We start from the raw sequence: 23187 nt of genomic DNA, 5'->3' as shown, positions 1-23187 counted from the left end.
GCTCTGTCGCCCAGGCTGTAGTGCAGTGGCGTGATCTCTGCTCACTACAAGCTCCGCCTCCTGGGTTCATGCCATTCTCCTGCCTCAGTCTCCCGAGTAGCTGGGACTACAAGCGCCTGCCAAAACTCCCGGCTAATTTTTTTGTATTTTTAGTAGAGCCGGGGTTTCACTGTGGTAGCCAGAATGGTCTCAATCTGCTGACCTCGTGATCCGCCTGACCTTGTAATCCACCTACCTTGGCCTCCCAAAGTGTTGGGATTACAGGCGTGAGCCACCGCGCCCGGCCAACATCACGTTTTTAAAAATTGATTTCTTCAAATTCATGGCAAATATTTCCCTTCCCTTTAACTTCTTATGTCAGAATGAGGAAGGATAGCTGCATTTATTTAGTCAGTTTTCATTGCATAGTAATATTTTCATGTAGTATTTTCTAAGTTATATTTTAGTAATTCATATGTTTTAGATTATAGGTTTTAACATACTTGTGAAAATACTTGATATGTTTTAAAGCCTTGGGCAGAAATTCTGTATTGTTGAGGATTTGTTCTTTTATCCCCCTTTTAAAGTCATCCGTCCTTGGCTCAGGATTTGGAGAGCTTGCACCACCAAAAATGGCAAACATCACCAGCTCCCAGATTTTGGACCAGTTGAAAGCTCCGAGTTTGGGCCAGTTTACCACCACCCCAAGTACACAGCAGAATAGTACAAGTCACCCTACAACTACTACTTCTTGGGACCTCAAGCCCCCAACATCCCAGTCCTCAGTCCTCAGTCATCTTGGTAGGTATACATTGTTTGTGGGTTTGCCCCTACTGAGGACGTTTCAAGCTTTGGCAGAGTGTGTTGACTTGTGAAGACTAATGTGGAATTTGTCCAGAGATGTTTCTTTTTAGTAGAACTCTTGCAGTTTCTCAGTTAAATCAGTCTTCCTTTGTTATACAATACTTGCATTTATTTGTTTTTGTTGTTGTTCTTGATAGTTTCATTATTGTTGGTAGTAATTGTGGTGGTAGTACATGCCTTGAAAAGTATGGTAAAAGCATGCAAATATGAACATCTAACACTTTGTGTAAATGCATGGACAGAATTTTCTGAGCTCTCTTAGAAGAGGGTGGTGATAGAACATAGAATGTGGAAAACATTTTAAGACTTTTTTTTTTTTTTTTTTTTTTGAGATGGGGTCTTCCTGTGCTGCGTAGGCTGATCTCCACCTCCTGGCCTCAAGCAGTCTTTTAATCTCAGCCTTCTGAGTAACTGGGATTATAGATGTGCACCACTGTATCCAGCCTAGACAATATTTTACTCTATTATTTTATTTTTTTTTTTTTTGAGTCAGGATCTTGCTCTGTTGCACAGGCTGGAGTACAGTGGCACAGTAACGCGTCACTGCCATCTTGACCTCCCAGGCTCAGTCCATCCTCCCACCTCAGCCTCTCTAGTAGGTGGGACTATAGGCACATGCCGTCACTCCTGGCTGATTTTTTTGTATTTTTTTAATGTGACAGGGGTTTGCCATGTTGCCCAGGCTGGTCTGGAACTCCTGGACTAAGGTGATCTGCCCACCTCGGCCTCCAAAAGTGCTGAGATCACAGGTGTGAGCCACCACGCCCGGCCTGGACAGTATTTTAACTATCACACTCTCATGCTTTCTCATTCTAACATTTTGAAGTATCAACTATGATTTCATCAACCTTTACATTCCGTGGTTTGTATTGTAAAGGTCCCATGTGTAGACTGGATGTTTTCTAAACTAAACTCCCACAGAAATTGTGACATTAAGCCACCATTCCCCACCAGCACTCACATGCCACACTGTATTAAGGAATAGCAGGGGATTTCATTCATTGTGGAGCTGGCCATGTGGGCTGGTTTATGGTTAGGGCATATAGAGAGACAGGGAAGCATATTCCTCTGTTCTGTGAAATGACTTACTGTGTTGGAAGTACATGAGACCACTCCGGGGTTTGAAGCGATGTCTACCAAGGGAAATCATTAGAGACTCAGTGCCCAAAGTTTTTGCTGGGGCAAGAAATGTAGGTACCCTGTGCCTACATTTTTTGCTATAGCACATAGCAAAATTACAGATTCCTAGAAGGAAAGCAGATGTTGAGCATAAACCACATTGTTTATACAGACATTCTTAGCACAGTGAGCCACTCTTAATAGGTTAGTGTGTTGGCACCCTTTGCCAAGTACATACCAGCAGTCCAAATTCTCAGACATTAGCCAAGGTCCAGTCATCAAGCAGGCCTTTTTGAGAGGAATTGTAGGTCCCTATATTAACTTTTTCTGCACACATAACTAGTGAGTGATAGGACTTTTTAGATAGAACCATGCTATTCCCATATTCTTTATAAAACCTGTGTGTTTGGTGCATGCCTATAATACCAAGTTCAAAAATGAATGCGCCTAAACCAGCTCTGCCATTTGTTTTTTTTTAAATTAAATTCTGTTGACACTCAGCTAGCTGGGCACAGTGGCTCATGTAATCCCAGCACTTGGGGAGGCAGAAGGAGGAGGATTGCTTGAGCAGGAGTTCGAGACCAGCCTGGGCAACGTGATGAGACACAAAGGCTAAAATATTAGGTTGTTGTACTATCTGGCCCCATAGAGAAAAAGAGGGCCAACCTCTGTCCCATATGGTAGAACTGGCTTTTCAAATCAGTAGTGAAAAAACGCTTTATTAAAACCGTTTGAAAAATGAAGTTGGATCTCTATGCCAAAATGCCAGTGGGTCAGATAGTTAAACATAAATAGTGAATCTAGAACTATAATAGAGAAAACACAGGAGAATTTTTTTGTTGTTCTGTGTGAGGGAGACCTTTCTGGGTATGGCAGAAAACACCAAATTAGGCAGACAAACAATGAAAAAAATACTCAAAATTTGTATCATAGACAAAAAGAGTTAATTTCCTTAATATAAAAAGAGTAAAAATAAAGCAGATCAACAAACAGGTTAAAAAACTGGCTAAAGAGATAAGAACAGTCTATAAGTAAAGAACACTTAAGTATATGAAATGATACTTAGCACATTTGTATCATTTTAGTTTGTATTTTTTAATACCATTTTCCACCAATTAAACCAGGAGATTCAAAAGTGTTTGATATTAGAGTGTGTTAAAAAGGATGTGTTCTATCTGTGGACAGTAATTTTATAATATTTATCAAAATTCAAAATATATTTACCCTGTGAAGGGGCAACTTTATCCTACCAGTTGATCCTACAGGTATACTTGTACTTGCACAAAATATCTTACATACAAATGTATTCATTAGTGCATTGCTTTTAATAGCATAAGATTTGACCTAAAAGTCCATTAATATAGTACTGGTTTTATAAAATGATACCTATGTGTACTAGATTTCTGTGTAGTCACCAAAATGAGTATGAAGTAGCTCTTTGAACATTAATGTGAGACACTCAATGGAAATTAAATGATTTGTGAGACAGTAAGGTATATAGTGTGTGTATATATATGTCTGTCTGTCTGTCTGTCTATATATATTGTGATATAGTATCTCTGAAAGAGACATTCAGGAAAACCGGGTACAGTGTTTGCCTTTGTGGAGCAAGTATGGGAGAGTGGTGTGGAAGAGAAACATAATATTCGTCATACATATTCTTGTATCTATTGGATTTTGTTTTTTGTTTGTTTGTTTGTCACCCAGTCTGTCACCCAGGCTGGAGTGCAGTGGCGCCATCTCAGCTCACTGCAAGCTCCGCCTCCCGGGTTCACGTCATAGGGCCTGCCTCAGCCTCCCGAGTAGCTGGGACTACAGGTGCCCACCACCACACCCGGCTAATTTTTTTGTATTTTTAGTAGAGATGGGGTTTCACCATGTTAGCCAGGATGGTCTTGATCTCCTGACTTCGTGATCTGCCTGCCTCGGCCTCCCAAAGTGTTGGGATTACAGGCGTGAGCCACTGCGCCCAGCCATCTTTTGGATTTTGTAACATCATATATATATATATATCAATTAGTCCAAAAACTTAATAAGTTTTTTTTTTTTTAATTTTTGGATGAAGACATGGTCTTGTTTTGTCATCCAGGCTGGAATGCAGTGGTGCAATCATAGCTCACTGCAGCCTTGTACTCCTGGGCTAAAGCAATCCTCCCACCTCAGCCTCCCAAAGTGCTGGCATTATAGGCATGAGTGACTGTGCCTGGCTCAAATTTTTAACAGTTATGTAGAAAATCCATAAAATAATAAAAGTATGATTCTCTGTTAGCTAATGGTCAGGTGTGTATAGCACCATAATATTGTTCTCACGAGTTCATCACTCCCTATGCTTAAACATAAACCAAATCTCTCTGGATAGGAAACAAGGTGTGTACCCATTTAGGAACTTTTCCCGTTTATCATAAATGAAGTGTTACACATAGTGTGTGTAAAACCTAAGAAATTCAACTGGAAATGATTTGGAGAAATTGGTGGTAATAGAACACTTCATGTTCTATTGAAGAACATTGTGAAGCCATTATGCCTCATTAATTGCTGCTTACTTTTTTTAGACTTCAAATCTCAACCTGAGCCATCCCCAGTTCTTAGCCAGTTGAGCCAGCGACAACAGCACCAGAGCCAGGCAGTCACTGTTCCTCCTCCTGGTTTGGAGTCCTTTCCTTCCCAGGCAAAACTTCGAGAATCAACACCTGGAGACAGTCCCTCCACTGTGAACAAGCTTTTGCAGCTTCCCAGCACGACCATTGAAAATATCTCTGTGTCTGTCCACCAGCCACAGCCCAAACACATCAAACTTGCTAAGCGGCGGATACCCCCAGCTTCTAAGGTGGGCATTTCATCATGAAGTCACCGTCCTAAAGCTGGAATTATTTTTACATTCAGCTCTAGTGGGATACTAAGTTTTGGAAACTGGGGTACAGTGTTTTTCAAGCACATAGCTTATTGATTGCATAATAAGGATATGGCCATTTCTGAGTGACCAGACTAGTATTAGAGGGAATGGGTTTGTGCTGAGAGCCACAGATCCTTATTTCAAGTACAGATTTGAAGATCTGGCTCAGAGAACTGTTGTTCTTGAGGGTTTTGCTGTATCCCATAGTTGGAGGATGCATGGTTCCTTGACCAGGTGATACTTTCATCATTGGTGAGTCCCCAAAAATAGAGTAGTCAGCTCAGTGTTCACTTCCCACCCACCATCACAACTCCCCCGCATTGCTCTTAGATGCAGGTGGTGATATTAATGCCAACCATTCCTGTTTAACTTTTAATTTCTCCTTTTTTTTTTTAAATGAGACAGGGTCTCGCCGTGTTGTCCAGGCTGGTCTTGAACTCCTGGGTGCAAATGATCCTCCTGTCTTGGCCTCCCAAAGTCCTGGGATTACAGGCATGAGCCACCATGCCCAGCCAACTTTTAATTTTTCTTAGCTTGTTTTTTTTCTTTCTCTTTTTAGAAAAGTCTTAGCCTATTTTCTCCTTGTTTCTCACTCCTTCTTCTTGCCAGTATTGCCTGGGAACCTAAATGCTTGTTTGGCTCTGTTATAGGCCTTTGTGACCTGGAATCTGTGACCTCTGTTCCTGACACGACAGCTTTGCTTTTTCAGATCCCAGCTTCTGCAGTGGAAATGCCTGGTTCAGCAGATGTCACAGGATTAAATGTGCAGTTTGGGGCTCTGGAATTTGGGTCAGAACCTTCTCTCTCTGAATTTGGATCAGCTCCAAGCAGTGAAAATAGTAATCAGATTCCCATCAGCTTGTATTCGAAGTCTTTAAGGTACTGAATTTAGTCCTTTGTTATGAAGCAAAATAGACCCTAAGAGAGATCAACTGGTGGAAAAGAATACATCCTGTGGTAATAGCTATCCTCAGTGTTTATCCAGACCTTCCATCATCTCCATAAGAAACCCCATACCTGTAGCAGACAGTCTCAGTTTCTTCATTGCCCTGCCCCTTAGCAACCAATAATCTGTCTCTGGATTTGCCTACCTGGACATTTCATATAACTGGAATCTTGGAATATGTGGCCTTTTATGTCTGATCTTTCACTTAGTGTAAGTTTTCGAGGTACACCCATGTTTAATGTATCATTTTTATTGCCAAATATTTCATTGTGTTGATAATACCACATTTTATTCATTCATTAGTTGGTGGACATTTGGGTTGTTTGCTCTTTTTGACTATAGTGAATGATGCTGCTATGGACATTTGGTTTCAAGTTTTGCATGCTTTCAGTTCTTTGGGATGTATATCCCAGGAGTAGAGTTGCTGAGTCATATGGTAACTTAACCATTCAGGAAACTCCCATACTGTTTCCACTGTGGCTGTAGCATTTGACATTCCTACCAGTAGTCTATGAGGGATCTAATTTCTCCACATGTTTGCAGCAGTCATTTTCCTTCAGTGGAATATTTTATAAATACAAAATCTCAGATTTTAGTTTTCTTTTCTTTTCTTTTTTTTTTTTTTGAGATAGGGTCTTGCTCTGTTGTCCAGGCTGGAGTGCAGCAGCATGCTTGGCTCGCTGCAACCTCTGCCTCCCAGGCTCAAATGATCCTCCTGCCTCAGACTCCTGAGTATCTGGGATTACAGGCGTGCACCACCATGCCCAGCTAATTTTTAAATATGTTTTGTAGAGACAGGGTTTCGTCATGTTGCCCAGACTGGCCTCAAACTCTGGAGCTCAATGAATCTGCCTGCATCAGCCTCCCAAAGTGCTGGGATTACAGGCATGAGCCACCGGCCTGGCTGACTTTGTTGTTGTTGTTGTTTTAGTTTTTTCACATTCCAGAGGCAAAACCTGATATTTGTTTAAGTTTCCTTTTTAAAGATGGTCTCAAACACCTGGATTCCTTAAAGAATCTTCTTATTTTTTTTCTTTTTTTCTAGACAGAGTCTTGCTCTGTCGCCAGGCTGGAGTGCAGTGGCGCGATCTTGGTTCACTGCAACCTCTGCCTCCCGAGTTCAAGTGATTCTCCTTTCTCAGCCTCCAGAGTGGCTGGGATTACAGGTGCCCACTGCCACGCCCTGCTAATTTTTGTATTTTTAGTAGAGACGGGGTTTCACCATGTTGGCAAGGATGGTCTCGATCTCCTGACCTCCGGATCCGCCCACCTCTGCCTCTCAAAGTGCTGGGATTACAGGCGTGAGCCACCGCACGCAGCCTAAGTATTCTTAAAGATGTCCCCCTATCTCTCAGTTAAATTAGGTGGGTCTCATTTGGGATAATAAATTGATGCAGTAGTTGCATCTCGTGAAGCTGTTTATGTTTTTTTTTTTTTATGAAGCTATTTAAAGTAACAAAATTATGTTGAATATTTTTGACTCTTTTCAGTGAGCCTTTGAATACATCTTTATCAATGACCAGTGCAGTACAGAACTCCACATATACAACTTCCGTCATTACCTCCTGCAGTCTGACAAGCTCATCACTGAATTCTGCTAGTCCAGTAGCAATGTCTTCCTCTTATGACCAGAGTTCTGTGCATAACAGGATCCCATACCAAAGCCCTGTGAGTTCATCAGAGTCAGCTCCAGGAACCATCATGGTAAGTGGTATTTTAGTTTTTTTCTCAGAAGATGTCCGTCTTATTTGGAAATTAATGTTTGGTTAAATTATGCTTCTTGGATATGATTTTATTTTACAAATTGACTAACCTTTTGAGTAGAATCCTTATAGTTCATTGAGTTTGTTTATAGTGGGCATCTCTAGCACCCATGCTCTTGAGTGTGTGGATAGATCTGCAGGTTCATACACTTTGTGGAGAAAACCAAGCATGCGTGTAGTATGAGCACTTTGGCTGTAGTACTGGGTACTTCTACATTGTCTGAAATATCTCTGAATATTTCATGTACTGCTTTCTCTCTGATTGCCCCATTTGCTTTGAATGTATTTGCTTCTTCATCACTGTTAGGTATTTTTGTGTTAAAATTATGTATTTTCTACCTAGTTTTTGTTAATAATACTGGACTATAGATAAAGGAACCAGATCTATTTTTGATATAGTTTTAAAGTTTTACCCTTCTAGATTCTTGCTAACTGCATATCTGATGGTCATTGCCAGTTGTATTGCTTTCTGTTAAGTTGAGATGTACCAATATCTCCTGAGAATCTTAGAAAGAAACTTAAAAAAGAACAAGTATACACATTTCATGTCACACTAGTAATACTTGAACATCATTCTGTCCCAGGAAATTAAAATAATATGGATGACACTACAGGCATACCTTGGAGATACTGCAGGTTGTTTTATACCACTGCAATAAAGAAAGTTGCGCTAATTTTTTGGTTTCCTAGTGCATATAAAAGTTACAATGTGGATATCTTAATTAAAGATACTTTATTGATAAGAAATGCTAAAAATTAATATGTGAGCATTCAGTGTGAGCAATTCTGTGGATTGTTTGTTTTTTGGGGGAGTACAGGTTCTTGCTTTGTCACCCAGGTTAGAGTCCAGTGGCGCGATCACAGCACACTGCAGCCTTGACCTCCCGGGCTCAGTGAGTCCTCCCACCCTAGCCTCCCAAAGAGCTGGGACTACAGACATGCATTGCCATGTCTGGCTGACTTTTGTATTTTGTTTAGAGACGGGGTATCACCATGTTGCCCAGTCTGATCTTGAACTGCTGGGTTCACGCAATCCACCTATCTTGGCCTTCTTCCAAAGTGCTGGGATTATAGGGTGAGCCACTACACTGGGCTCTTTGTTCCTTTTATCACTTGACATTATTTTGTAAATATGACATGATAGCTTAGGATTTCAGCTCAACAACTCTGTATGTCCAAGGTTTCTGAGTAAATTTTTAAGCCAACAATTTTTATTAACAGTGCTGGAACTTGATAATCCTATGAGTAAATCCAAGCCCTTGCCCCACAAGAACCCCTCCTAGGGTGTATACACCCTCACACACACATTTGCAGCATCTTACTTGGTGTAGGCAGCTGAGAAAAGTATAGATATGCTTCCAGTTTAGGAAGAAGCCTTTCTAGAGCCAAAGAAACGACACTGTGGTGGTTCCCATATTAAATCTGCCTGCATGCATCCGATGTCTTAACTGCATTTGAATTAAGGAATCTTGTCGTCGTGGCCTTCTTCCTCCTCCTCCTTTTTTTCTTCTTTTTCTTTTCTTCTTCTTTCCCCTCTCCCTCTCCCTCTCTTCCCTCTCCCTCCTCTCCCTCCCCCTCCTCTTTCCCCTCCTCCTCACCCTCCTCCCTCCTACCTTATTTTTTCTTCTTCTTCCTTCCTTCCCTCTTTCTTCTTCTTCCTTCTCCTCTTCTTCTCCTCCCCATCCTCCTCCTCCTCCCCTCCTCCTCCTCCTCCCCTCCTCCTCCTCCTCCCCCTCCCCCTCCTCCCCCTCCCCCTCCTCCCCCCCTTCCTCCTCCCCTTCCTCCTCCCCTTCCTCCTCCCCTTCCTCCTCCCCTTCCTCCTCCCCCTCCCCCTCCCCCCCTTCTCCCTCCCTCTCCTTCTCTTCTTCATTTTGATACAGGGTCTGGCTCTGTCACCCACTGAAGTGCAGTGGTGTGATCACAACTGCCTGCAACCTCAGCCTCCCGAGTAGTGGGGACTGCAGACACATGCCACCATACCTGGCTAATTTTTTTGTAGAGATGGGGTTTCATCATGTTACCCAGGCTAGTCTCAAGGAATCTTGTCTTATAAAGCACACAAATGGCTGAGAGCATTAAAAACACATAGGAATCTGGGCGCAGTGGCTCACTCCTGTAATCCCAGCACTTTTGGAGGCTGAGGCAGGCAGATCACCTGAGATCAGGAGTTCGAGACCAGCCTGGGCAACATGGTGAAACCCTGTCTCTACTAAAATACAAAAATTAGCCTGATGTGGTAGTGCGTGCCTGTAGTCCCAGCTACTACTTGGGAGGCTGAAGTGGGAGAATCGCTTGAACCTGGGAGGCGGAGGAGGTTGCAGTGAGTGGAGATCACACCGTTGCACTCCAGCCTGGGTGACAGAGCAAGACTCCATCTCAAAAAAAAAAAAAAAAAAAAAAGACATAGGAAATCAAATAATGTTATTAAGCTATGTTTTCTGAGATTATGCCACTCTACCTCTAATGAGACATAAAATCACAAACAGGAATAGAATCTTGGAACATATAAACTGAGTAAAATGGGGAGCTTTCCATGTTTTGTCTTTTCATCATTCCCTTCAACTAAACATTTAGAAAAATATTTGTGTCCCTTGTCCGTCTTGGATGGATCATCCTCCCTTCCTTTTTCTCTTCCCCTTCCACAGCCTGGAATATCCACAGATTAAAATTACCTTCTCAGAGATGCTTTGACAGAAATAAGTTAGAGTCTATATCCTGACAGATGGGCACTGAAACAAGAAAAACCATGTGAACTATGGAAATTTCAATGACAAGCTTTTTTTTTTTTTTTTTTGAGATGGAGTCTTGCTCTGTTGCCCAGGCTGGAGTGCAATGGCGTGATCTTGGCTCACTCCAACCTCCACCTCCCGGGTTCAAGCGATTCTCCTGCCTCAGCCTCCCTAGTAGCTGTGATTACAGGCACCCATCACCATGCTGGCTAATTTTTGTATTTTTAGTAGAGACAGGGTTTCACCATGTTGCCCAGGCTGGTCTCGAACTCCTGACCTCAGGTGATCTGCCTGCCTTGGCCTCCCAAAGTGCTGGGATTACAGGCGTGAGCCACCACGCCCGGCCAATGACAAGCTGTTTTTGTTTCAACATAAGTTTTTGAGAAGCTTATCGTGTAACATTTCTTACATAATCTAAACAATCATGTTGGGCTGGGCATGGTGGCTTATGTCTGGAACCCCAGCACTTTGAGAGGTGGAGGCAGGTGGATTGCTTGAGGTCAGGAGTTTGAGACCAGCCTAAGCAACATGACAAAAAACTCTGTCTCTACAAAAAATACAAAAAGTGGCTGGGCGTGGTGGTGCGAGCCTGTGGTCCTGGCAATTTGGGAGACTGAGGCAGGTGGATCACTTGAGCCCAGGAGTTCACAACCAGACTGGACAACATGATGAGACCCTGCCTCTACAAATAATAATAATAATTAGGTGTGATGGTACAGACCTGTAGTCCCAGCTACTCGGGAAGCTGAGGTGGGAGGATGGCTTGAACCAGGAAGCGGAGGTTGCAATGAGCCGAGATCACACCACTGCACACCTGCCTGGGTGACAGAGCCAGACACTGTCTCAAAACAAAAACAAAAAAACAAAAGAAACCCCCCAAAACAACTATACACAATGTAGTTGTGTGTAATGTAGTGTGTGTAAATATATGTATCTATTTTTTGAGAGGGAGGTTTGCTGTTGTTGCCCAGGCTGGAGTGCCACGGTCCCGGCTCACTGCAACCTCTGCCTCCTGGGTTCACGTGATTCTCCTGCCTCAGCCTCCTGACTAGCTGGGATTACAGCCGCCCACCACCACACCTGGCTAATTTTTTTTTTTTTTTTTGTATTTTTTAAATAGAGACGGGGTTTCATCATGTTTGCCAGGCTGGTCTTGAACTCCTGACCTCAGGTGATCAACCCACCACAGCTGCCCAACGTGCCAGGATTACAGGCATGAGCCATTGTGCCCAGCTTAATTTTTTTTTTTTTTTTTTTTTTTGAGACAGAGTCTGGCTCTATCGCCCAGTGCAGTGGTGCGATCTTGGCTCACTGCTACCTCTTCCTCCCAGGTTCAAATGATTCTCTTTCCTCAGCCTCCCGACTAGCTAGAACTACAGGTGTGTGTCACCCCACCTAGCTAATTTTTGTAGTTTTAGTATAGGTGGGGTTTCACTATGTTGGCTAGGCTGGTCTCGATCTCCTGACCTCAAATGATACGTCCTCCTTGGCCTCCCATAGTGCTGGGACTACGGGTGTGAGCCACTGCATCCCCTGTCAACTTGATACTATGTATTCTCAACTACATGCTAGATAATTTTACTTATTTACACCCCAGACGCAGTTAAATTGAACCTTTGTCAGACTTTTCCCTCTGTATATTGCTACTTGTTGATTTTCCATCCTGGTTTTAGACATTAGTTCTTGATGTGCTACCATGCAATATAATTTTCACTTTTTTTTTTTTTTTGAATCACCACCAGTCTCACTTTATTTTTTAGAAAGAGTTTGTGTTGGATTGTTCTCCTTCCTACCTTAAATATTTAGTAGCATTCACCAGTACAGCTGTCTGGGCCAGAAGTTTTCTTTGCAAGGAGTTTTGTAATTGTAAATTCAATTCCTTCAATTGGTAGAGGGCTATTCAGACTGTTTTTTTTTTTTTTTTTTTTTTTTTTGAGCTGGAGTTTTGCTACAGTGCCCAGGGTGGTCATGAACTCCTGGGCGCAAGCAGTTCTCCTGTTCCAGCGTTCTGAGTAGCTGGATTACAGGTGTGGGCCACTGTGCTTCAGTTTCTTTTGCTGTTTGTGTATGTCAAGGAATTTGTCCATTTCATCTAAGTTGTTAATTTACTGGCATAAAACTTCAATGTATTTCTTTCCTGTCCTTTTAATGTTTCTGAGATCTATAGTGGTATTGTCTCCTTTATTTATTTATTTGTTTTGTTTTGTTTTGTTTTTTGAGATGGAGTGTTGCTCTGTTGCCCATGCTGGAGTACAGTGGCGCAATGTCAGCTCACATGGTGGCTCACACCTGTAATCCCAACATTTTGGGAGGCTGAGGTGGGTGGATCACTTGAGGTCAGGAGTTTGAGACCAGCCTGGCCAACATGGTGAAACCCCATCTCTACTAAAAATACAAACATTAGCCTGGTGTAGTGGTGCGCGCCTGTAATCCCAGCTACTTGGGAGGCTGAGGTAGGAGAATCACTTGAACCTGGGAGATGGAGTTTGCAGTGATCTAAGATGCGCCATTGCACTCCAGCCTGGGTGACAGCGCAAGACACCATCTCAAAAAGTTACCTTTAAAAAAAAATTATTTGGGTCTGGGTGTGGTAGCTCATGCCTGTAATCCTGTGCTTTTGGAGGCCAAGGCAGGAGGATTGCTTGAGCCCAGGAGTTGGAGACCAGCCTGGTCAACATGGCAAAACCCCATCTCTACAGAAAATACAAGAATTAGCTAGGCATGGTAGGATGCACCTGTAGTCCCAGCTCCTAGGCAGGCTAAGGGGGAGGATCACCTGAACCTGGGGATGTGAAAAAAAATTTTTTTGAACATTTTTGTTCTTGCATGAGAGTTTGTTGTTTATCTTCCCTTTATTAAAAAATAGAATAAAAGAGATAATTGTTTCTTGATTAAGCTACATGTTGTAGAAAGTATAAAAAGCCACTCAGGTAATGATTTCATTTTGTAAGTTTATATTCTCTTCTCTTCTTTTCCTTATAGAATGGACATGGTGGTGGTCGAAGTCAGCAGACACTAGACAGTAAGTATAGCAGCAAGCTACTCTTGTCATGGCTGGTGCCAACCAAACAGAGGAAGAGGATAGCTCACGTGATGTGGAAAACACCAGTTGGTCAATGGCTTATTCGTTAAAAAGCAGCCCTTTTGCTTTTTTGTTTTTGGACCAGGTGTTGGCTGTGGTGTTATTAGAAATGTCTTAACCACAGCAAGAAGGAGGTGGTGGTCTCATATTCTTCTGCCCTAATCAGACTGCACCACAAGTGCAGCATACAGTATGCATTTTAAAGATGCTTGGGCCAGGCGGGGTGGCTGATGCCCATAATCCCAGTGCTTTGGGGGGCCAAGGCAGGCAGATTGCCCAAGCTCAGGAGTTTGAGACCACCCTGGGCAACATGGTGAAACTCTGTCTCTACTAAAATACGAAAAACTAGCCGGGTGTGGTGGCGGCGCGTGCCTGTAATCCCAGCTACTTGGGAGGCTGAGGCACAAGAATCGCTTGAGCCAGCTTGGGCTACAAAGTGAGACTCCGTCTGAAAAGAAAAAAAAAAAAGAAAGAAACTACTTCTAAATCAAAAATTTACTATTCTTGTTCAGGAAAGATAGGCTCATTGTCTTTAGGACCTGAAGGACTGTTGCTTAGAAAGAGAGATAAATGTTCACTGTGGACATTTGGGAGAAAATGAGACCCCCCCCCCCCGCCACTTCCAACAGCTCAGTGATTACCAAAGATAGTGCAGGTAAATCCGTTAATTGCTTCTTTTCTGTAGTTGGCCAGCTTGACTGATGGTTTATAGTAGTTTTCTTTCTTTATTCAGGAAGGCAAATGGGTGGGGAAGCCAGAAAGACTCTTTAAATAGGATTTCCTGGGAGTGCGGATATTGAACTTAAGCAGACCGAGGTGAGCCTCAGTTGAAACTGTAATGACAGATTTGGAGCCCCAGGATTTTGGTTTGACATTTGCTGGTATTGTTGGGCTGCCAAGGCTGTTTGGAGATTCGTTGGTCGTTCTGAGCTTGTTGGATGACAGAGGAACTTTTGACTCTAGCAGTGGTAGTGGCAGGTTTCTTTTGTCTAGGCATGGGTCGAGAACTAAAGTATCTGGGAAGCAGTGTACATTAACCTACTTTTCATTTCCCATACTCTCTTCTCCCTCACTTCCTCCTCCCCTTCCCTCCCCATTTTGTTTGTTTGTTTGAGAGAGGCTTCCTGTGAAGCTGTTAGCATCATAATACAAGGCCCAGGGCGGTATGTTTTGGGGTCTTAGTTTTAGGTGAGGTGTATCTGTGGTGTCTTTATACAGTTTATCTATGAACAAGGTTTATATATGGAAGAGACTGCCAATAAAAAGAAGGCCTCTGTAAGAACTGACCTAGGTGTAAGTTGACCCTTTCATTGCTTATGTTTGTTTTTGACCTGCCCTTCCTTTAGAGACTCAAGTGCTTTCCCTGGGTTTTAGAAGGGTCAAGGTTGCTCCTCTTTCCTAACTGGAAAAGACAATGATGTTTTATTTCCAAGCACATATCTGAGTTGTATGTGTGGACAGCACTGAGACTGAGTCTTTCCACAGCTAGGACTGAGTGTCTCCACATCCTTTCTGAAGCCTACGAAGCTCATTTATGTGCTCTGAGATACATCTATTCAAGCACATACCAAGGAAATGCTCACTGTGCATTTGGAAGTAGGTGTTGGACAGTTGGACTGCAGATGTTAGGTGTCTGTGTCTCTCCACAACATAGGCATCAACCCCAATCTGCCTTACGTTGGCCGTGAGCATTGGTAGAGTCAGCCTGACTTGGCGGAAGCACGTGTAGGTGGTCTTGCCTGTTAGCTTCTTACTCCCCCTTGCTGTGCCCTTTGAGGAGTTTGCCTCACGTTATAATTCTACATATTAGGCTCAGCACCTGTTTTTCTTTCTGGATGCATCTACAGCTTAGGTTCCTTTAGGTGTGAAAAGTATGTCCCCATATAGGATAGGTTGGGTTATAAAGGTGTCATTTCCTATTCTTTGCTGCATCTTGAACAGCTGACCATGGTGTGGTGTCCTTTGATAGTGTTGTTTGACAGACAAAGGGCTATCTGGCGATATGCTTGGCATTTTCCTGGGGAATGTAACTTTATGGACGTCTCAACTGAGGCTGACATGTCACAAGATATTGAGCATATTTTCAGGCACTTAGGATTGGTTTTAGAAATAAACAGATCTGCTTCTTACAGCTACTTCATCTGTTCCAGCTCCAAAGACAACAGGCCCTCCCTCTGCCCTCCCGTCTGTGAGCTCCCTGCCCAGCACCACCTCCTGCACTGCACTTCTGCCGTCCACATCCCAGCACACTGGCGACCTGACTAGCAGCCCTCTCTCTCAGCTTAGCAGGTATGGGGAAGGTGTGGGCCCAAAGTGAGAAGTACCTTGGGGCAAGTCCTGGAGCTCCTGTAGAAGGTTGCTTTCATGAACAGAGCACACTTGTTGTCTCTGACGTGATGTCCTGGGCTTTTGCATTACGACTGTAGCTTAGGTTTTGGCCAGGTTGTTCCTTAAAACCACCAGATATGGAAACCTTGCCTGCTTGTACCGCCTCTGCTGGCACAGAGCACTGGGTCCCCTGGGAGTAGGGTGAGGCCAGCAGCTCCCTCCTACCTGTCTTCACCCTCCAGAGGGTGCCTGAGCCTAGCCTCTCTGGGCATCGCTGGGCCCATGTCACTGAGGTGGAATGAGAATGATGGATTTCTGAGCAGGTGTCTGACTTGAACTTTCCATGGCTGAAGAAACGATGTTATTAGAACAAGGTGTAGGAAAATGGGTGGCGTTGCTACCTGTGTCTTCTGAGGAGTGTTCTCCATCACTCTTTAGCTAGGAGCAAAAGTGGATTTGATGGGAATTGGCATGTGGAGTTGAGCATAGGAACTTTGATCCCTCGTTCACAGATTGAATGGGATTGTCAAGGATGACCGTGTTCTTAGTGCAACTCTGTCTTCACTTTTCGCATCTGAGGAGCAAATGGATGTCGTTGAGGGAAGCTGGCTCTGGAGTTTTCCAGACCTCATGGCGAGTCATTCCCGTCCACCAGGACCCCATCACTGGGCTCTGTGGGGATAAGGAATGAGGATGGGTCTGAAGCCGGTCCTGTGCTAGGGACTATGATAAGTTTGAATCTAGCTCACTGACCCACGTGCGTCTTGTTCATCTGGAGTCACTTGTTCAGGTGGACATACGGCGCTCTGTTTTGTCTTCTAGTTCGCTCTCCAGCCACCAGAGCAGCCTCTCTGCACATGCAGCCCTCTCCTCGAGCACGTCACACACAGTAAGTGTCTGCGCGGCTTCCTCTTCCTCCGCCATGCTTGGGGAGCCTGGAGCTTAGTCACATGCAGCTGGGGCTTCAGTCTGATTTTTAGTGTCTGATAATCTAGAGTTGCTTGGCTGAAATGTCTTGATGGCATGATCTGGTTCGAGCTTCTGATTTCCTGGGCACCATCTGGGGACATCTTGCTTTCTAAGTTTGTAGCGCCTGGGAAGAATCATTGCTCCAGACCTTATCTGTCATTGGCAGGAGTGTCAGGTGGTGACCTTGCTCCCAGGAATTTGCTGTTTGATCTTTCCTCGTGCCTTCTTTCCTGACTCAGACGCAGAGATTGCAAGAAGGTCAATGTTGGAGAAGGGAGTCTAGATGGTGGAGGGCAGGAGTGGAAGCAAACATGCACTGCCGAGAAGCCAGGCAGGAGGGCTGGAGTCGGCGCGCCAGCTTTAATTTTCCTCATATGCCAAAGAGTAGCCCTAGATTATGGTTATTGAGGTGTGGCTCAGTGGGTCGTGGAGCCGTGAGCATGGCTTTCAGTGGTAGGAGTCAGCCAGATTGTGGTGGGTTGCGGAGTGAATGGTAGTGAGATGGAGAGGAGGGAGGAGGATTGTAGAGGGCATGCAATGAAAACTTAAGAGAGGCTGGAGCCTCTATTGGGAGGATAGAAAGGTGCCTGGATTAACAAAAAGTGCATGCTCCTGGACAACAGGAGGTGTTGGGCGAGGTTGGAGTAGGCAGGTCCACAGGCTGGGAGGAAGGATTAGGGTGCAGACGAATGGAGGAGGCAGGAAACTGATGAACTTGGTGTCCTCTGAAGAAGACAGCAGCTCACCAGCAGAGTGAGGTGGTGGAAAAGGGACATCCTGTCCTTTCCTCTGGATCTGGCTAATGCTGTGGCTTTCATACTCTAGTGTTCCAAGTCAAACCTTACACAGAATCTTTTATCATAAAACACACAAACTGCCACTTTCAAAGGAGAGCATAGTGTGGACACCTCTGCCTGTCCCTCTGCCCCTGCCCTCTGTGGCTCATGGGAGTGGTGAGCTGACCTCAGCAGGAGTGCCGTGGAGCTGTCCTCTGTGTCCGTGCCACTGCTGCCTGGGAGCCCAGTGCTCCTGCACTCATGGGGAGCTGCACTCTCCATCTCCTCAAAAAAAAACCTCCAGACCATGTATTCCAGCCTGCCACAGCCAGAATCGTCTCATCCAGTGGGTCCCATACTTTGTCAGCATGACAGAACTGTGACATTGCTAATACAGTTGTCCCTCCATATATGCAGGGGATTCATTCCAGGACCACTGCATACACCAAAATCTGCACATTCTCAAGTCCCACAGTTGCCCCTGTGGAACCCACCTATAGGAAAAGTCAGCCTTCCAAATATGGGTGTTTTCAAATTATGTATGCGTGCATTGGGTTGAAAAAGAAATCTGCCTGTAAGTGGACCCATGCATTTCAAGCCTGTGTTGTTCAGGGGTCAACTGTTTGTTCATAATATTTCATCTGAAAAGTTATGGAAAGATAGACAATGAAAAGTTTTTCTGTCTCTCATCTACTTGGCTCTACCCTTACATTTTCTCCATCCTTTTAATAAATAAAAGTCAAAACACGCAGTGCATACATGTAGTCATTTCCCCATTATCATCCGCTTTTTTTTTTTTTTTTTTTTTTTGAGATGCAGTCTCACTCTGTCGCCTAGGCTGGAGTGCAATGGCGCAATCTCAGCTCACTGCAACCTCCACTTCCCGGGTTCAAGCGATCCTCCTGCCTCAGTCTCCTGAGTAGCTGGGGTTACAGGCGCATACCACCATGCCCGGATAATTTTTGTATTTTTAGTAGAGACGGGATTTCACTATGTTGGTCAGACTGGTCTCAAACTCCTGACCTCGTAATCCACCCGCCTCGGCCTCCCAAAGTGGTGGGATTACAGGCGTGAACCACCGCGCCCGGCCATCATCTGCCCTTTTTATTCTTTTTCTCTTGTTACATAAATGAGAGTATTTTATGTACAGTGTCCTTCAACTTTTTTTTCCCCACTTGTGTATCCCCACAAGTGTATCTTGATGTTTCCATGTTGAAACTTAAGGGTTTTTTGTTGTTGTTGTTGTTGTTTCCCCACAGTTCTGCTTTATGATGTTATTTAAGGTTATTTAAGCAGCCGTCCATTTAGGGTCGTTTTCAGTCTTGATACCACAGAGAATGTTGCATTTGATAACCTACATATGTTGTTTCATGTGTATAGCTGTATGTAGCGGGTCAGTACGTGATGTGGAACAGCAAGGCATTTATGATTTTATACACATTTGCAGATTGCCCCGCATAGTGATTCAACCCTGTTTACCTCCCACTGGCGGTGAATGAAATATCCTATTACACCATGGCATCCTCAAAATGGTGTTATTAAACATTTGTATTTCCTTAATATGTTAGCAGAAAAATGGCCCATCAGTCTAGTTTTTAATGAGGTTGTACATCCTTTTTTTTATATATTTGAAAACCATTTGATTTCCTTTATGTGAGTTTTTAATTTTTATTTTATTTATTTATTTCTTATTATTTTTCTGAGACGGAGTTTTACTCTTGTGGCCTAGGCTGGAGTGCAATGGCATGATCTCAGCTTAGTGCAACCTCCACCTCCCAGGTTCAAGCAGTTCTCCTGCCTCAGCCTCCCTAGTAGCTGGGATTACAGGCACACGCCACCAGGCCCAGCTAATATTTTTATTATTTTAATAGAGGCAGGGTTTCACTGTGTTGACCAGGCTGGTCTCAAACTCCTGATCTCAGGTGATCCACCTGCCTCGGCCTCCCAAAGTGCTGGGATTACAGGCGTGAGCCACCGTGCCCGGCCTATGTGAGCTATTTATATTCTTGGTTCCTTTTTTTGTCAGGTCTTTGGTCTCTATTTCTATATTAGGGAGCCCTTGGTGATGGGAAGTACAGGTATTTTTCCCTAAGTTTGCTGTTTATGATTTTTTTTTACATAGATCTGTGTATTTTCTTCCATTTTCTTGTAGTTATATCTTTACCACTCTCCATCAATACATAAAGGAAATCTTAGCATCTTCTCCTGCCTTTACTTCTCTGGGCCTGTCCTGGGGAGTTGACTGCATAGGGCCCATTGGATGGACTGAGCGAAGCCTTGAAAATTAGTGTTGACTTTTTAATTCAGCAGGTTGATGTACTCCCAGTTCTGGAAGATGAGGGCCAGAGACAGGAACCCTGTCAGGCAGCTAAGGGAGAAGAGACTTGCCAGATGACTCTTGAGTCCCTTTCAGCAAGTCAGGACCTAGTTCCCTAGTGAGCATCTCTTAGCGATGGAGAATGTTCATTTTTCCTTCCGAGATTAAAAGGTTGTATATATCCAAGTACACTTGCGAGCACTGGTCAGAGCTGCTCCAGATTTCTGTGGCAGTTGGTGGGGAGTCTGCCTCCTTAGTGAGAACCTAGTTGGTGGGCAGGCCAGTGCATCCTTTGGCCCGCTCCTGGTGGGGCTCTCTCCGGCCTGGTCCTGCCCATCTGTGCTGAAGGAACAAGACGCCTTGGAGCCCCAGGAAACCATGTTTTTGGCTGTCTTTACCTTGGTGAATCTGTTCTGGATGTTAGCTCTGTAAAGCCAGTGCCCAGGCGGGTAGTGACCTGTGGGCATGGGATGGCGGCGGAGAGTTAGTCTGCGCAGGCAGGTTGGGTCCTTCTCCTGGGCCCTTCCCGTTCTTTGGCTTTTCTTCTACGAGTTTATATGCTGCTTTCTATGTCCTGGTTTGGAGACTGGTCTCCCTCTTACAGAGCTTTTCTTCCCTTTTTTGAGACTTGCCTTGTCCACCTAGGTGTGCCCCCCACCTACCTGCTCGGAGCTTGAAGTTCTTCATAGGACCCTGTTGCTAGGGTTGGGCAGCTAGGCAGGGCTTCTGGGACTCGGGGCTGATGGAGCATCCGCTGGTTCACTCTTTCTTCACAGGGGTACCTTGTCAAACAGGCATAAGTGGCAGGCCATGCCCTTTTAGGTGGGCACTGGTGAGGCATTGGTGGACTGAAAGGTGTCACCAGGTTTTGGAGCAAAGGCCTCTCTCAGCCTCCTGTTTCCAGACCACAGTGGCTGAGAATCCCAATAGAAGGGAAATCTCCAAAAGATTGAGACTTACGCTGGGCTTCCTGTGGCCTGTGCTCGCCTCTTCTCAGACTGTTTGCTTTGCTCTGAGGTAGGTACTTGTCCCATATTCAGATAGTCTGTGTTCATTTATGATCCGAAGTTATCTTGGGATTTCTATGCCCTCATTTTGGATGCCAAGCATGAGCAACTTGAAGGATTTTTACAGAGAGTTGTGGTCATTAAAGCTTAATGTTAATAGTTTTGATGTTCAGTTTATGTATTGTATCCTGATGGCTGGAACCAGCTGCTATGTGAGGGGCCGCAGTGAGCACTGAGCACAGAGCCTCTCACCTTAAGGGAGCCTGGGTGGTTACATCATTGCCTGCCTGCTCAGCCTTGAGACTTGGGCCCAAGCGCCAGGCCAGGCTCTCCCCAGCACCCTCCTCCTCTGCCTCCAGATCCATGTGTCCTGGCTTTTCTTTTGCCAGCATGCCAGTGTGGAGAGCGCCTCTTCCCACCAGTCCTCAGCCACCTTCTCCACGGCAGCGACCTCCGTCTCAAGTTCCGCATCCTCAGGCGCCAGCCTGTCCAGTAGCATGAACACCGCGAACAGCCTCTGTCTGGGTGGGACCCCCGCGAGTGCATCCAGCAGCAGTAGCAGGGCCGCGCCCTTGGTGACCTCAGGTATTTGCTCCAGAGGCCTTTCCTGCCCACCCCTGAGCCCCTCAAAGGTGCCTGCTTGGCGTCCCAGGAAGGCAGTGCAGGTGTCAGGAGAGTCTCAGGCCCGCCGAGTGCGCTGCGTGTTCCACTGACCTTGAGGCCCAATCTCCCCACCCCTGATGGGGATGAATTCTTCCTTGCAGGATTCCTGGCCTCTGCGTGCTTCTAGCTTTTCAGTCTTTCCTCTTTGTTCTTTCCTGGAGCCGAGTTGACATTGTGACTTGGAGGGGCCAGGGATGACTTATGGTGGGCTCCACGACTGCAGACCTAGGCTGTCTGTAGGCCCAGCAGACTATGATTTGATGGTCGCTGCTAAAACCGACTTCGAACTCAGCCTGTCCCTCTCCTGGCACTGCATGGCTTCCTTGCCCTCTTTGGAGGAGGCAGATTCTTTTTATATTTCTCTTTGCTCAGTGCAGTGGGACCTTAGGGACTGGGGGAAAGGGGCTGCTTTTGTCTGGGCCCGGAACTCTCTGACGTTGAAACAACCTCAGTGTGGTGGCCGGGCTTTCTGTCTCCCCTTCACTGCTTTGTAGAATGACCCTCTGCCTCATTCGGCCACTGCCCTTCTTTGAACCCATCTGGGGTAGCTCAGTGACTGTGCCTCCTCCTGAAGCAGCTGAGGACTCTCACTCTTTGTGGTGACCATTTCACTCCATTTGATTTTTCCCTCTATACAGGCAAAGCACCCCCAAACTTACCTCAGGGGGTGCCTCCCCTGCTGCACAACCAGTACCTCGTAGGTCCCGGAGGACTGCTTCCTGCCTACCCGGTGAGTGTATGGCGGAACTCCTGGCCTGCCCAGCTCCCCTGGCCTCGGGGGCTGGCACCTGGCAGGAACCTGGCGTTGGGCCCAGGTTGCCCACCTTGAGCTGCCCTTCCATCCCTGAGCACCCCCGTCTCTGCCCCACTGAGCCCTGGTGGTCTTCTTCCATCTAGACTCCGTGAAGGCAGGATCTGTTCCCGTAACAGCTAATCCAGATCCCATTCCCGGGTGTGTTAGAGCCCCCCAACCTTGTTTTGACTCCTAGATGGACCTGGGCTTCCCAGGGTGTGGTATGTGGTTCCTAAAATACACTTTCTGGTTCTCACACAGATCTATGGCTATGACGAGCTCCAGATGCTGCAGTCACGGCTGCCAGTGGTGAGTGGGGTATGGACTGGTCGGAGCAGAGGGTTCAGAATCTTTTACATGTCCCCCCTCTTATGGTCTTGGCTGCCACACTCTCTGGCCCTTAGGATCCTCTGCCTGAGGAACCTCTCAGCACCACTACTGAGAAAGCTGTTTTCATCTGGCGGTTGTGCCAGGCGTGACCATAGCTTTAGCACAGAGTATCCAGTGCTCATCCCTGGGAAACATGAAGGCCTTTGGGACCTGGGGCCCTGGTAGGCCATGTCCCCTGTTAAATGTTGGTCCTTATCTTCCCTCCTCCATCTTGTTTTCTCTCTCTTTTTTAAAAAGAAAAACCATATGACACAAGACATGGAGGTTGCTTACGTGGCCCTGGAGTTTTATACTGTCTTCCTCTTCCTCAGAGTACCATATAGTGTCTTTGGTCTGAGATGGCCAGTGACTGCTCTTCTGCAATCAGCTGAGTGAGTGGCTTGAGCTGATGGTCTTTAAGGTCTCTTCTGGGTCTGGCCTCCCATCTAGATTTGTGAGAATGCCTGCCCTGGGACGTCCCTGGTGGTTGCAGCCTTACTCTGAGACCAGGGTTGCCTCTTTCTTCTGACCGTTGGTGCCAGAATGCAGTGTGGGCCTTTCCTGGGATAGCCACATGAACAGAACTGTGG

General features: G+C 45.4%; 1 protein-coding gene and 1 non-coding gene across 11 annotated transcripts in view, besides 1 other annotated feature; both read left to right on the top strand.

The window, feature by feature from the left end:
- UBAP2 (ubiquitin associated protein 2) overlaps window positions 1-23187 on the top strand; it is a 127507-nt gene that overhangs the window by 100046 nt on the left and 4274 nt on the right. For 9 of the 10 annotated variants that reach the window (NR_163243.2, NM_001370059.2, NM_020867.2 and 6 more), the window contains 10 exons: window positions 567-780; window positions 4515-4789; window positions 5565-5734; window positions 7292-7505; window positions 13276-13315; window positions 15526-15664; window positions 16526-16592; window positions 21162-21357; window positions 22074-22165; window positions 22490-22537. Coding sequence is in view for 9 of the 10 variants with exons in the window: in NM_001370059.2 (NP_001356988.2) it covers window positions 567-780; window positions 4515-4789; window positions 5565-5734; window positions 7292-7505; window positions 13276-13315; window positions 15526-15664; window positions 16526-16592; window positions 21162-21357; window positions 22074-22165; window positions 22490-22537 (1455 nt within the window). In the remaining variant the exon portion in view is untranslated. Of the gene's footprint in view, window positions 1-566; window positions 781-4514; window positions 4790-5564; window positions 5735-7291; window positions 7506-13275; window positions 13316-14789; window positions 15101-15525; window positions 15665-16525; window positions 16593-21161; window positions 21358-22073; window positions 22166-22489; window positions 22538-23187 lie in introns of those variants that run through there. The other variant, NM_001282530.2, reaches the window with a different exon arrangement.
- SNORD121B (small nucleolar RNA, C/D box 121B) lies at window positions 14779-14857 on the top strand. Its single transcript, NR_102370.1, has one exon. It is a non-coding gene; the product is annotated as a small nucleolar RNA, C/D box 121B (small nucleolar RNA).
- Window positions 20731-21721: an enhancer, noted in NCBI's record as "H3K4me1 hESC enhancer chr9:33927431-33928421 (GRCh37/hg19 assembly coordinates)". NCBI's record gives its function as "activates a minimal SCP1, AML or CMV promoter by ChIP-STARR-seq in primed H9 embryonic stem cells {active_cell/tissue: H9 hESC(primed)}" and the evidence as "EXISTENCE:reporter gene assay evidence [ECO:0000049][PMID:30033119]".

Source organism: Homo sapiens, chromosome 9 (assembly GCF_000001405.40).
Source record: "Homo sapiens chromosome 9, GRCh38.p14 Primary Assembly".
NCBI lineage: Eukaryota > Metazoa > Chordata > Mammalia > Primates > Hominidae > Homo > Homo sapiens.
This window is presented reverse-complemented; position numbering and strand designations above follow the sequence as displayed.